This window comes from Homo sapiens, chromosome 7, assembly GCF_000001405.40.
Source record: "Homo sapiens chromosome 7, GRCh38.p14 Primary Assembly".
Classification (NCBI taxonomy): Eukaryota; Metazoa; Chordata; class Mammalia; order Primates; family Hominidae; genus Homo; species Homo sapiens.
In genome coordinates, this window is record NC_000007.14 from 122,742,306 (window position 1) to 122,757,654 (window position 15,349).

A 15,349-nucleotide genomic window follows, 5' to 3' on the forward strand; every position below is an offset into this window, starting at 1 on the left:
AATCGCTTGAACCCGAGAGGCAGAGGTTGCAGTGAGCCAAGATCATGCCACTCCACTCCAGCCTGGGTGACAGAGACTCCATCTCAAAAAAAAAAATTAATTAAAATATATAATGCCCTTTGATATAAAAATTCAAAAGGAAAACACTTTGAAAACTATAAGATTAAGCAAATGAAACTCACTACAATAGCAATGTCCCTCTTAAAATGTACTAGATAGACTGATCACCATTCTCTTAGGATAGTGTGGCCAACAGAGAGATAAGTGAGAGGGCCACTTCCCACATTCTAAGCATTCTATGTCTATTAATTCAAACTAAAAACAAATTAACTCTTCTTGGCAGTCACATCTACTGACTTACATTGTGCTTATAATCAACAAAAACTTCTAAAACATTCTTACATGTGCCTCAGTAAGCCATGTTCCATCTTGCTAGATGTATCTGAGCCACTGTTCTAGTTAAGAATTATTTTGGAATTCTGATTCCTTCACCTGATGACTAGAGAGCTCTCTTAGCTTTGTTATAATCACTAACATAATAACATATTATCCATAGTCTCCTCCAGGTCGTTTTAAAAATATTCATCAGTTCAGGATTAAGGAAAGAATCCTGAATCCTGCCATTATATATACTCCTTCAGTTTAACATAATCAATTAATATTATTTGGGGCAGTTGATTTATTATTATTTAGCATATGTTTTAATTTTGTCTTCAGACTACTGTATTTACCAATGAATAAAATATTTTTAAATATGAAGGAAAATTTGACCAGCAGAAATTATCTATCAGGAATTTATAAGGCACATCCTATATAAAACTAAATTGCAGAAACTTAACTAAAACATAAATATAATTGCAAACATCTAAATACAACCAACAGATTAGCCTTGTAAAAAGAAAAAACTAAATTTTATAAATCTGACCTGGCTGTGATACTTCATCCACAATAATAACTGCCACCAGAAAAAACACTTAGATTCTAGGGTTCAGAGGTGTCTCATGTTTCCTGTTTTTTCATATTCAAATTAGATTTCATCCTTTTCATTCTGAATCATGGATCAACTAAAGACTTAAGCCAGGATTTATACTACTGCAGGAGACCAGCCAATATGCAACCCAGGAACCTAGCAACCATGGCTGCATGGAGCCTGCCCTGACCTGCAGAACCCATCAGGAGTCTCAGTACTTACAGTGGAAGCTGTGTGACATCCTAGCAAGTAAAGGTGGTCACAGTCAGATTCCACAGCAAAGTGGCAGAAAACTTGTGGGTCCCTCCAGGATTGGGGCATGGGTGTGCATTTACCTCATGTCAAAGAGTAATAAAAATGAGAAAGGTTTTTCAAAAAGGTAAAAGTCTTTACTCTAGGCACAGATGTTTCTTAAAATTCACAAACGCATAGCTTTAAGGTTTGTCAATTAAAGAAAGATATTAATAGGAAAACGCTAAAGGATCAGTACTATTTTCTTCTTCCCTTCCTATCAACACTGTCAAAAACAGCTACATCAAACCACTGAAGCAAAATCATCAGTGTCTTCCATGTTTTTGAAATAACAATGCATCCCAAGCTGTATATCAGAAAAATAGGGGGTTCCAGCTACGTCTCATACATTATAAACCCTGTGGGATGTGCTGATATTATCAGTGTCGTATTCAAATAAACTTTCCTGTCCTCTTCCATAAGCACAGATATTTGGGACAGTGAATAAATATGCCCATCTAATTCTACAAATATCAGGTTCACTTGATAGGTATAGACATGGTCAAATGACCAAGTTAAGACCAACCAGATGCAAGCAAATGTATGCCTGACTTCCAGGAAACTGTAACAGGTGGCTAAAGTAAACACACTTTGCTTCTTTCTCTTTTTTCTTTTCCTGCTGAATGGAATTTGATGTGCTAGCTGAAGTTTCACCTTGATTCATGAAGATGGTGAGGTGGCAAGATAAAAAGTGCCTCACACCACAGAGTGGAGCAGCACTGCAACCCTAGACCACCTACCTCCCAACTTCCTTGACATGAGAGAGAAAACCTCCATACATCCTGACCACTCTTATTGGGATTTATTGGTAATATGCAGTTAACAGTAATATGGTACCATACCTAACCAGAGGGAAAATACCATGGTACTATCGTGTGTTTTTTTGTAAGAAATGTTCATCTTAATTTATTCTAAAACATTTTTCCATGCTATTTCATATGAAAAACTCCTTATCCAATAAACTTGCCCCAGCGAACAGTGAACACCTAAGCTGGCTGGATATAGATTGAAAACAAAGTTATTTTGGCAAACCAAATTCCACTGTCACACAGTGTTGACAGGACGATTTAAAAGCCCAAAATTTATAAACACCATATTAATATGTTTTATAATAAAATGTAAACTAAGTGATAAGTACAGAACAGCAAACTCCCATTGCATGGTGGACAAATGGACCCCAACCCAGTCTAGGCTCACTCAGCACTAAGTGAATGACGCCTACCCACATTCTCATTGATCTCCCAGTCCGATTCAAACCTCAGCAAAATTACATGTCATCATGGCATTGTCTGGCGTGGGCAGGGAGCTGGTGAATGCTAAGCTCCAAATGTTAAATCCATTAATTATTCCATGAGTTTCCTTGTCATGTTCTACTGACTACATTCCATGTACATCTCATTTTTCTTTTTTTTTTTACTTTATTGAACTATAACTGACAAGTAAAAACGTAAACATTTAAGGTATACAAAGTATACAATGTTTTGATATGTTACACTGTTAAATAATTAAAACTAAGCTAATTAACACACCCATCATCTTACAGTTACCTTTTGTGTCTGTGTGTGTGTGTGCATGGCAGGAGCGGTGAGAACATTTAAGGTCTACTCTTAGCAAATTTCAAATATAAAATATATTATTATTAATTATAGTCACTATGCTGTACACTAGATCCCCAGAACATTTTCATCCCACATAATTGAAACTTTGCCCTCTTCTAACATGTCTGATTAATCTTCTTAAAATTCTCTATATTTGTTACAAAGGATGAAACTAAGCTCAAAGAAGTTAAGGATCTTACTTAACCTCGCATCTAGTAAGAGACAGGGATAGAATTTCAACCAGCATCTTGATCCCAAAGCCTATATTCTTTCCGATTACCATATTATTCCGTTTCCCTCACAGCTACAGACTTCTTTCAATAAAAGGTGTTTATCCCTACGCAATGTGTTGTATACAGCTTGTAGGCATTTATTTGCTTATTATTTAAGTCTTTCCATTAGAACAAAAGTGGCTTTAGGATAAGAACTTGGTTTTAGCCTAAAACCAAGTTCTTATCCTAAAGCCGCTTTTGTTGTAGATAAGGCCTAGCACATAGAATATCCTCTTTTTTTTTTAAAGAATGAATAAATGAAGTAAGGGAAAGCAAATATCAGTTGGTTGCTATGAAACTATTCCCTACTGGGATAGCTACATCCTCTATTCTCATGCTTGCCTGACCCCACAAAAAAGTCGGTTTATCATGCAATAATAAAAATTCCAGATAATTTCAACACACCACAATGGATCAGAAAAGTCTATCATAGATAACTTAACCTATTTTATTAATTAGTAAGTTTATGTATTACTAACGGGGAAGTAGAAATAATAAGAGTTCTGAAGTCAGACTACTTCTGTTTTTATCCAAGATTCCCCTACAAGTTGTAGGGTCTTAAGCAGGTCCCTTAACCTCAGTGCCTCAAGTTCTTCATCTATATAATAAGGCAGTAAAAATAGACATCTAATAGGGCTGTTGCATTAAATGATAGAATAAAAATACTTAACACATATTAAATGCTTTATAATTGCCATGATTTTAGAAATACATGGTCATTTTATTTCAGCAATTGCAGAAGCCACAAACAAAAACAAATATTAAGATGGATGCCCGTGAATAATTAACAATAGATGGATCCACAGTTGTGCTGTCCAACACAGTGGTCACTAACCACATGCAGCTATTGAGCACTTGAAATGTGGCTAATCCAAGTTAACATACGTTTTAAGTTTGAAATACCAGATTTCAAACATTCAGAACCACAAAAAAAGAAAAGAATAAAAAAATACCTGCCAACCCCCACATTATAGATAAGAAAACAGACTGAGAGGTTAAGGTACAGACCCAGTTAGGTCATAGAACTGGGAGCCTAACCTAGGTTTCCTGAACCCCAATCCACAGTTTTTACTCTATCACAGGGGTGTCCAATCTTTTGGCTTCCCTGGGCCATATTGGAAGAAGCAGATTGTCTTGGGCCACATGTAAAACACACTAACACTAACGACAGCTGATGAGCTAAAACACACAGACACACACACACAGACACACACACACACACACCCTCATGTTTTAAAGTTTACAAATTTGTGTTGGGCTGCATTGAAAGTCATCCTGGGCTGCATACGACCTGTGGGCCAGACAAGCTTGCTCTATCACTACATTCCCCTTACCCACTGTTATATTCTTATTTGATTCTAGGTCTTCATTCACCTGAGCCTTACTAATGATAATCAAGGTAAGTGCTGAGGAGTTATTTAACAGGACTCTCCCTGAACATAGTAATAAGTAACTAAGAGAGAATTGGCAAGTCTTGTTGGTCATTATCTTCCAAAATTCTGCTTTAGGACTCTCTTATTCATTGACAGCGTCTGCCTCACTCACTTCTCTGAGAGTGAAAAGGACCATGATAATAGCCTCTAATGGTCCCCACTAACAATGTAACCTCATCAAAAGCAAATGTAAACCAATTATCACAAATAGCAGCCTGAGTGATCTCTGTGGCAAACAGCAATTGAGAGATGACTGTGGAGGCAGAGAGTTGAAGAGAAATAGAAACTTTAATGAGCCATTCTGAGAAGTTCTCATTGCAATAGAAAGCCATTCCCCCCAACACCCAGCCACCCACTAAGATCTGACAAAATCCAGGAGGTTTTGCAAACAAGTCTTCTCAGACATGTGCTATGGAAAAAAGGAGGGGAAGGAAGGAAGCTCAACACACACTGTGACCCTTTACCGTCCTACAAAATAGAAAACAGAGCCTGTCATAAGCCAGAGAAAATTTCTACCCAACGCTTTTCTACAAATAATTCCAGTGGACTATGTCAAATTAAATAATGAGGGACTCATTCTTTAGAAACAGTATGATATCCCCTTGACTACCCTTAATATATGTCTAATGTAACAACTAGTCATAATAGCTAACATTTATTGACCATTTACTACACACTCAGCACAATTCTAACCTCTTTACATAGATTATTTTAATGTCAGCTCCCTATAAGGTGGGTTCAATGTTTTTTTCCAAATGAAGAAGCTAAAGCCCAGAGAATTTAAGAAAGTTACCCAGTTCACAAAATTTGGGGGCAGAACCAGGTATATCTGACTGATATGCTCTTAGCCACTGGCTACACTTGGGGCCAATCACATGATTTAATCAGCTTGAAGAGGTAAAAGCTCCTCTCCTCCCCATTTACCTTCAAAACGCCGTCCCATTCATGTTGTTTATGTCATTGTGCCTTTGCACAGTTTGCTTCCTCTGCCTAGAATACCATAGAACCTAATTAAGACGACACCTCCAAGAAATCTCCTTCTTTCTGCTGCCCCCAAATTATGTCATCTTATCCTCTTTGTGCCACTTCTGTACCTCATACATACATCTGTCACTTGCTTATGTGGCCTTTTCCTTACTAGGATGCAGATTTCTTCAACGCAGATGCCAACCTTCAATATATCCCACCTTAAGTACAGTGTTTGCTGGTGTAAATCATCTACAGTAGAAGAAAATTCACCATTCACTATTACTTTTTGAAGAATATATCTTGTCATAACCATTGAGCAAAGACTCCAGCACTGAAGCAAGTGAGTGAAGAGGAGGGAGCAGACAAAGCCTAAGAAAAGAATTCTAAGATAGCTGTATGTTGTCCAAATAATAAGTTCATGGACAGACTCAATGAGGCCAAAAGAAGAGCAAAGGATTTCTTTGTTGAGATGCAGCATGGGTAGCTCTGTTTTGCAGATGATATCACTCTCACGCAGGAAGAACTTTGTGCCTCAGTACCATCTGGCATTTCATGGCACAGATCCATATGCTGAAGCCATATTTGCAAGAAACAGTGACTTTATGTTTATCACAAAGTATTCCGACAGCCTCAGGAGCAGACAACTGTGAGCCAGTGTAAAAGCTTAAAGATGCTGACCAACTCATGCCACACAATGGCCTTTTCCAGCAGGCAGTAAGTGGTTTAACAGAGTTGCTTTCAGAAGAAGAAAATATGACATAAAATTACTTTCCTCAGAAATGTCTGAAGTTTTTGCTTTCTTTCTTGACCAGGTATTACATGGATGAGAAGTGGCTATCTGCAAAAGAAGAAAAGTAGCAGCAGAAGGCAAGGGACTTTCAGCTCATCATCTTTGTGCACCATCCTTCTAGGATAAGGAGTGGCAGACTCTCAATATGATAAACATTAAGGTCTATCTTACACCTTTAATGTAGTTAGAATGCTTTTCACTGAAAGTAATAGAATCCTCAACTCAAAACGCCCTGTTAAACAATAAGGGGGTGGGGGAGGGATTATTATCAGGTATCTCAAAAAGTACAAAAGTAAGAGAATTCCAGAGTTAGTTAATTTAACTCTTAAGTGAAGTATTTCAGGGCCCTGGCCTTTTCCACCTGTCTACATTCTCCACATGCTAGCTTTTGTCTTCTAGTTTACTGCCTCCAAAGAAATCCACATTAACTGTGCAAAGCATCCTCATACAATAATAAACCAAAACTGAAGAAGAAAATAATTTTATTCTAAGAAAAAGGGAGAAAATTCTCCCAGAATCAGCATCCTCCTTCTGTCATATTTTCTCCCACGTATCACTGAAGAATTGATTCAAGTGTGCATTCCTAAAGAAATCAATGGGTAAGGGAAATGGAATATCACGACTGACCAATCAAGATTCACTCTGGGGACTCAAGAGGAACCCAGCCACCACTGTATAATAATAGGTGCCTAATAGCTGATTAAAACCAAGGATTTGTGAGAGAAGAAGGGTAGTCAGAGAACAGCCACTGGATAGGCAACTAGCACTGCTGCTCTGTCCTGGCCTATCCAGTAAGGAGACCTGAACTAGCAAACTGTACATAAAAGACTGAGACTACCACCTTCTAATAGCTAACTTGACATTTCCCTAACAAATAACAAAATTCTGCTCAGTACCTAAAACAGAAACATTAGCTGCAACCCACTTTAAAATAATACATTTCAAGTAAATTAAATTATATTGATTAGTTATTGCATTTATATTCATGTATTTAGGGACATAAAATGCAAGGATCTTATTACTCCTTTTATAATAAAAATCATTTTATATTTATTACCTTCTTTAAACTTACCAAATTTTAGTGGCAAAAATGCCATGCTAACTTCAATACATCATTGTTAACAAATTTACATTAGCAAATTCAAGGATTTGTGAGGATTAAACAGATAAAAGCCCTCTTCAGGATTGGCATTAAAAAAACTGGATATCTACATTAGGGTGACATAAATACATGCTTCAGATTTTTAATTCTAAAAGCAATTCTGATTATACATACAGAATGCTGCTAATAAGAAAAGGCAAATTTTTAGCACATTTGTTCACCTGTGAGGTTAAAAAAAAAAAAAAAGAAAAAGAGAGAGTATGTAACTTCCCCAGGAAGAGGGACAAGAAAATGGAAGTTTATTCTATCAGTTACAAAGCTATCATTCAAGTAATTATCAAAGAAACAATAAACAAACTGAAAAATAAAGCTATTTTAAAATAAAGCCTGCTTCTGGGGCTAGTTTAACTGAATGACTATTGTATGCTACACTGCTGAGTCTCAACAGTATGCCATGGCCCTTCTTTCACATCAGATAGGGGTGCCAAATTAAATACAGAATTCTCATTTACATTTGAATTTCAGGTAAACAATATGTCATTTTTGTGTAATTATTTCATCATCAGTGCAGAATAAATTTTTAGTATAAATATGTCCTATGCAGTATTTGGGATATATACTAAAAAGAATCCATTATTTAACTAAAATTCAAATATAATGGGCAACCTATATTTGCATTCGTATTGTGTCTTCTGATGCCCCCTCTTTCTATGTCTTTGACAACATCTTCCTTTGTTCTTTGGATTGTCCTGTTTCTATGCCCAGTTATAATGCCTTTGTCTCTTAGGACTTAATAATGTCTCCTGGCTCCAGTCAGCTCCAATTTCTTAATCTTTTCAGTGTTGTCTGAAAAAGCAGCTCAAAGGAAATTTCCACAGCAGAACTTGACATCCTGTGCAATACTAAAACCAGACAAATAGATGACACTAAGAGACATGTGTGATCATTTTTAAAGAAAGAAGAACAAGTGAACAAATCCCAAAGCCAGCTAATTACAATCCCCTGAAGAGCTTTTTTTAAAAAATGCAGGTACGAAAGACCTACCCCACACCTACTATTTCAGAATTTTGAAAAGAGTGGCCTGGAAAGCTGTATAGTTTTAAAGTTCCTGAGGGAGTCTGATATTCAGCTATAGGTTTGGGATTTTCTGGAGATGGTAATTATGAGTTAAGAAATCTACTAAAAGCTGAGGAGAGCTCAGTGAGTAGATTTAGACTTAAACAACAGAATGCTGAACCCCTAAAATTTTTTTTGGACCAACATAAAAACGAAAAGATAAATATATGGGACACACAGGATAAAACTCAAACCGATTTTTAAATCAGGCTTTCACTCATGACAAAGAAATATGAGGAGATTCATTTTCTGGTTTGTATAATTATGAATCATATTTTAAGATATAGGCATTTCTCTTTGTTACTGTTTTTTGGTAGAGACAGGGTCTGCCTATGTTGCCCAGGCTGTTCTCAAACTCCTGAGCTCAAGGGTTCCTCGAGCCTTGGATTCCCAAAGTGCTAGGCGCTTCCTAAGAGTCTATGTTTTGTCTGCTTGGAAAACAATCTAAAATGCTAACATCTATGCAAATTTCTCATTAGAAATAATGATTTAAAAAAATCATGTCGAGGGAATGGGTAATGAAATAAGGGCCCCCTAAAGTTTATGCATCTATTCCACTAAGTGGAAGACTGAGAGCATAGTTTCGTGGAAACTGAAAGCTTGATCTCCTTCACCTGATATCCAGGACAATTCTCCCTCACACACAACCTCCCTGAATCTTGCAGAATGTAAATGATGACCTTTTGTCAAAACCTACAAGAATAACTTTTTGTAACAGAATACTGACATATCATAAGAAATTAAAGTAATTCAAACAAACATGAAAAGGGTCTCACAATACACACGGCACATACAAGTCTCCACAGCCAACAGAAACCACAAGGATGGAGAAGGGTCACTGCACACTGCCTTTCATGAGTGACCACATATCCCACACACTGCCACATGCTACACTGATCCAAAGAGAAAACCTACACAATACTAAACATATTAACAAGGCTGCTACGCAGTGAAATGCTGTGTAACTCAGGCTATGGTATATGCATTTTGGTCCTAAGTGTATTGGTAAAAGGTATGCCTTTGGCTCCTCCCATCTGCTGCCCACCTACTGACAGATATAGGGCCAGGTCAAGTCCTTATTTACTCCCATTAGCATTTAGAAGCATTATCCTGAAGAAGAGCGAGTCCTTAGATACTCCCATTAGCATTTAGAAGCATTATCCACTCCATTTTATAGGAGAAACTTGAATTCACAAAACAGATGTCCAAGAAAACTCAAGAACACTCAAAACGAATTCAGGAAGCTAAAAACTGAAAGATAATCTAGGATGTGAATAAATAGAATAGAAAAACTTAAATATTTTTGTGCTAAAGTAGATCTGAATTTTTTTCATACTGCAACACATTACCTAACATTAGTTTCTTTCTCAGTTAATTTCTCTTGCACAAAATTCTATTAAGAAACCCTGTTTACTCTATAAAGATATCTACTTACATTTTAAATTATAGAATAACTCAAAATTATCTCTATAGCAAAGAACAGATAAACAAAACATTCTCATACTTTCTGGAAGAGCTTTCTGAAATCCTGAGTATTATAAATCTCTGAAATGTACCTGGATAACACTGTGAAATTTGGCAATAAGGTAGAAAAACATTTATAACCTCAATTGAGAAATTAAAGTTATTAAAGAAGTTAAAAATATAATTTAACACTAAAATTGTTTGCATATTATAAGGAATTACATGAAGTAATGAAGAAAATGTCAATACATAGGGCAAATTTTACATAACCCAAAGACATAGATGTGATAGTTTGTGGCTCCTCACATCTTCCCAAACATTAGTCATACACCCTACCTTTGCCTACCAAAATGCCTAGTGTTCTACAATGACAAACCCTTTCAGTTATGGTATTGTCTTCAGAACTCTTTCCCTGTGAAACTTCCTACAACAGGTTAATATATAAACCCCTCAGTCCTTTGAAGTATGTAACAGCTTAACACTAGCTCAACTGACTGATAACCTGCTCCCAAAAAAGAATAGGACGCATCAAGTAATAATTTTCCTCGTTTAGAAATTGAGCGGGGCACATAAAAGAGAAAAGAAAGACAAACAAGAGAGGGCAGCCAAATGGTTGTAGAAAGGAAGGAAACAAGAAGAAGATGGAGAATAAATGGGAGTTCTTAATAAGATGCTGAGATTGGAAATTCTGCTCTCCAAAGGGAGACACCCCAAGAAAGTGACACACAGATATTCTGGCAGTAGATCAAAGTTATTCAATGGCCCCGGGGTAAAATGATTACTTATTACTGAAACCAACTAGTACCTATTACATAAATTAGTTTAATAGTGCTCACATCTTACAAGCACATTTTTGAATTAAAATCTAGTAGGGTATAATTAAGTCAAAGATTACTTTTCTAGGAAAAAGAGATGCATTTTATGCTACATACACATGGAGCACAGAAATTCATTCTCACATTATTCATTGTTTAAGTCTAAAGCCTTTCACATCACTTCTCTATGACTACATTCACCCTACAGTTTTCTAAATACATGCAAAGAGGAAACTTTAAACTTTTTTAAAGCAATAACTGCCTCAACTTTTATTTAAAGGGACTAAGTTCCAATTTGGTGTTTATTCAAACATCCAGTAATTCAATAACTCAGCAAATATTTATTGAGAACCTACTACATACCTGTACTCCTACAGTGATGGGGGAGACAAAAAGTGAGATAAACCTAACCTTAAATAATGGTTTAGTGATATTTTGGGAAAAGTACACCTCATTTTCCAACACACTGTAAGTTAAATGGAGACATTTTGAAAGGAATGTTCAAATACAGTTATGATTGAAGAAAGTAAAATTTTCTTTTCCTATGATCTTGGTTTGTAAAACAGTACACTTTAGCCAACAGCTATGGCTGCCAAAAATTAGATGACAAATCTAAAGCAAGCTCAGTTGTATACATATAAACACACGAACGCTTGCATGCTCTTGGGGACATACACACTTACTCCCCTACTCACCCACTGGGGTGTTGCATATTTCACAGAGCACAATTTGCCCAATCAATACACTGCAGGTCACCAAAAACTTTTTTTTTTCCCTTTTAAACAACCATTCAAAAGTTTAAAACAGTTGAATTTTAACATTATTTAAACATTTTCCTCCATAAACCTTCTTAATTTTCATTTTGGCTAATAGGATGTGGTGCAGAGCACTCCCCACCAGGTAGGAGCTGTGCAGTGTTACACAAAACTGTGTCTCTCCTTAACCTCCCACTAAATCCTTCAGTCAGTAAGGTTGAGTCACAATTTATCACTCAAAAAGTCTTTGTTTACATGCAAATGTATTTAGTTTTCATTGCAATTAATTTGCTTTTGCTTTTCAAAACTGTCCCTATTAACAAAGTAGTGCTGTTTATCATTACCACTATTACTAATTTTTCTTATTATTAGATTCTTAAATTTTAAATTTTATCAGTTGGTATTTCTTTATCCACTTCTGCTTTTGTTTTATTTGTTAACCAAAGTGTGACTCTTGAAGGAATTTGATAAATAAGTTAGAAAAATGTTTGCTTCTAAGGTAAATAATCAATGAAATTTAATTAAAATGACTTACTAAAAGGCCTTGACAGCATCAGAATATGTAATTTTGAAACTTTTGTTTTCATGAAATGTCTTTTTTCTTTTTTTCTTTTTGAAATGGAGTTTTGCTCATCACCCAGACTGGGGTACAATAGCACAATCTCGGCTCACTGCAACGTCCGCCTCCCAGGTTCAGTTGAGTCTCCTGCCTCAGCCTCCTGAGTAGCTGGGATTACAGGTGCCCACCATCACGCCCGGCGAATTTTTGTATTTTTAGTAGAAACGGGTTTCACCAAGTTGGCCAGGTTGGTCTCAAACTCCTGACTCAGGGGATCTGCCTGCCTCGGCCTCCCAAAGTGCTGGGATTACTGGCATAAGCCACCACACCCAGAGCCTAATTTTCAAACTTTTAATCTTATGAATGTAATAACACATAATGTAAATGTCTAAATTTTAATTACTGAATTAAATGAAAATGTATACCTCAGTATCTCCTGATGCTACTTTTAAACATTTCCAAATAGTCTGTTTTAAAACATATTCTTAAGAACATAGGAGAACTTAATTTTTTTAATCAAGTTTCTGAATTCATAATGGCTCATAGTCTCCTTTAGAACTTTATATCTAAATAGATTTAATTTTTACAAATCTTTGTCCATTAAGACAGGCAGCTTCATTTTTGTTTTTAAATGAAGAATGTCTTCAGATAATAGTAACAAATAAAAACATTTGCTACTGAGCAGTATGATGACAATTACACCAAATCTAGATTTTAGATTTGTATATTCTAATGATTCTTTCCTGCAGTCTACATGTCTTGTTTTGCATGTTGCATGTAAACATTATCAAGTTATGCCAAGGTACCAAGCAAACCATGCTGACGTCTTTCCTTAATAAATTCATCTTAAACTTAAAAGGCTATGAAGTTTAAGATCTTCAAAATTATTTTATGAACTAGGGCATATAACTACCAGACTGAACTAAAGTCATGCAATGAGTAGCTAAAACCAAAATGCCTCACATCAACTACAAAATCACTTTTTCTTTATCAGCTATATATTATCAACACTGTATTGTATTTGGGACCAATGAAGCAAAGAATATTGAAAGAGTATCAGTTGTCAAAATGTTTAATGAAGACAGAGCTGTCAGATGACAGAGACGACACTAATTCAAAAGATTATTAAAACAAAAGAACTTCCAGTACATAAAATGAATCCCCAGATGTTAAAAATGGTCCTATTTTAAATAAAAATGAAAATCCCTGAAAAGTTATGCTTGGAAGAACACGATTTGTTTTGCAGAGAAAAACCCAAACAAACTACTGGGAACAAAATTTAGAGAGGCTAAAAAAAAAAAAGGGAAACTGATAAGATATTTCATAAACAAGGCCTATGTTTGTGTTCTATACTGATAGGAATATGTAAAGGCTTTGAGATCAAGAGCTTATTCTGAAAACACTGCAACTCAAGTAACACCTAGTTCTCTTCCAAAGAATCTTTGCGATGTAGACGTTTTCCTGGATTCCACATTAAATTATGTTAACAAAATAGTGAATATAATAAAATCCAAGCTGCTACTGTCCCATCTGTTTTCAGCTTTTATGTGAAAAGTGGGATCAGAACATCATTTGTTATTGTTTCCTACCACAGCACACTGATGATACAGAAAAGAGTTTAGGTTTAATCAGGAGTTTATGAGCCAAATGTTGAAGTTTTTTAGAACACTGAAAATACTTTATTTTCCCTTTCAGATTCATTGAATAGTTACTGGTTACAAAAGGCGACTAACTTAACTGGCAGTGGAACACCACAATGAACTAAAATTATACAAGGACTTAATTAATATATATATTGGTATGTACCAAGTTTATGAATTCAAAACAAAAATCCAACTTAGAAAAAATCAAATGTTGCTTAGTTATCATTTGTATCCTAATACTGTAGAACATCTAAATATACAATAGTCATTACTTTCAAATTTTTGATATGAGAAGGTTCAATTCAATTTGAAATTCATTTACATTATCAAAAGAAATGTATACAACCACATTTCTTAGGAAAGAGATGTCAAAATTTAAAGAATAAAAATAAGAAGTTATATTTTTAAAAAAGGAAGACATAGATGTTACAGAATAATGTACCCTTGATATATAATTGAATTTCCAAATACTCTGATGTTATACTATGTCATAATCAGCTATTATTTTAAAAATGGCATAAATTCTTTCCCAAGGGTTGGGCGCGGTGGCACACGCCTGTAATCCCAGCACTTTGAGAGGTGGCAGTGGGTGCATCACCTGAGGTCAGGAGTTCGAGACCAGCCTGACCAATATGGTGAAACCCCGTCTCTACTAAAAATACAAAAAGTTAGCCAGGCATGGTGGCATGCACCTGTAATCCCAGCTACTCAGGAGGCTGAGACAGGAGAATTGCTTGAACCTGGGAGGCAGAGGTTGCAGTGAGCCAAGATTGCGCCACTGCACTCCAGCCTGGGGAACAGAGCAAGACTCCCTCTCAAGGAAAAAAAAAAAAAAATTACATCCTCAGACCTCCTACAGAACCCAATCTCAAGTTCATATCTTTAAGTGCAGTATGAAAGGAACCACCACACTGCACAACTCCACGGACACCTTTGACAATGATAAGTGTGAGTGCTACTTCCTGAGCAGACCTGTATATTACACAAAGGTGGGGAAGCTCTGAACTGTTGACCAAAGGGCAATGTTTTTGAACAATGCTGGTCTTCTTCTGTTAACATAAGTTAGGTATAGTTTTTATTTATTTTGAGACAGGGTCTTTATTGCCCAGGCTGGAATGCAGTGGCATAATCATGGCTCACTACAGCTTCTACCTACCTGGCTCAAGTGATCCTCTCAGTTCAGCCTCCCAAATAGCTGGGACTTGGGAGGTGCACGCCACCATGACCAGCTAATTTTTGTATTTTTTGTAGAGACGGGGTTTCGCCAAGTTGTCCAGGCTGGTCTCAAACTTCCTGGCTCAAGCAGTTGCCCACCTCAGCCACCCAAAGTGCTGGGATTACAGGCACGAGCCACTGTGACCAGCCAGGAATGTTTTTTAAAGCATTCTGTACTACAATAAATTTAGCACCCCAGGGATGGTAATGTTTCTGGTTGAGATTCTGCCAAACTAAGAACTCTCGTTCCTGATCTAGATGCTTTGTGGTGATTTATGTCATAATTTTAGGCAGCCCTGACACCCATGTCCTAAAAAATAGGCCCAAATTTTAAAAATTATTGATCAACACTCTAGT

At 36.2% G+C, this 15,349-nt stretch overlaps 1 protein-coding gene and 1 long non-coding RNA gene across 29 annotated transcripts in view; one reads left to right on the forward strand and one right to left on the reverse strand.

The window, feature by feature from the left end:
• LOC124901738 (uncharacterized) overlaps nt 1–5,767 on the forward strand; it is a 44,981-nt gene extending 39,214 nt beyond the window's left edge. Inside the window, exon 3 of the long non-coding RNA XR_007060503.1 lies at nt 5,706–5,767. This is a non-coding gene — a long non-coding RNA (uncharacterized LOC124901738). The remainder of the gene's footprint in view (nt 1–5,705) is intronic.
• The window catches only part of CADPS2 (calcium dependent secretion activator 2), a 568,050-nt gene that overhangs the window by 423,895 nt on the left and 128,806 nt on the right, over nt 1–15,349 (reverse strand). The gene's annotated exons all lie outside the window — the stretch shown is intronic.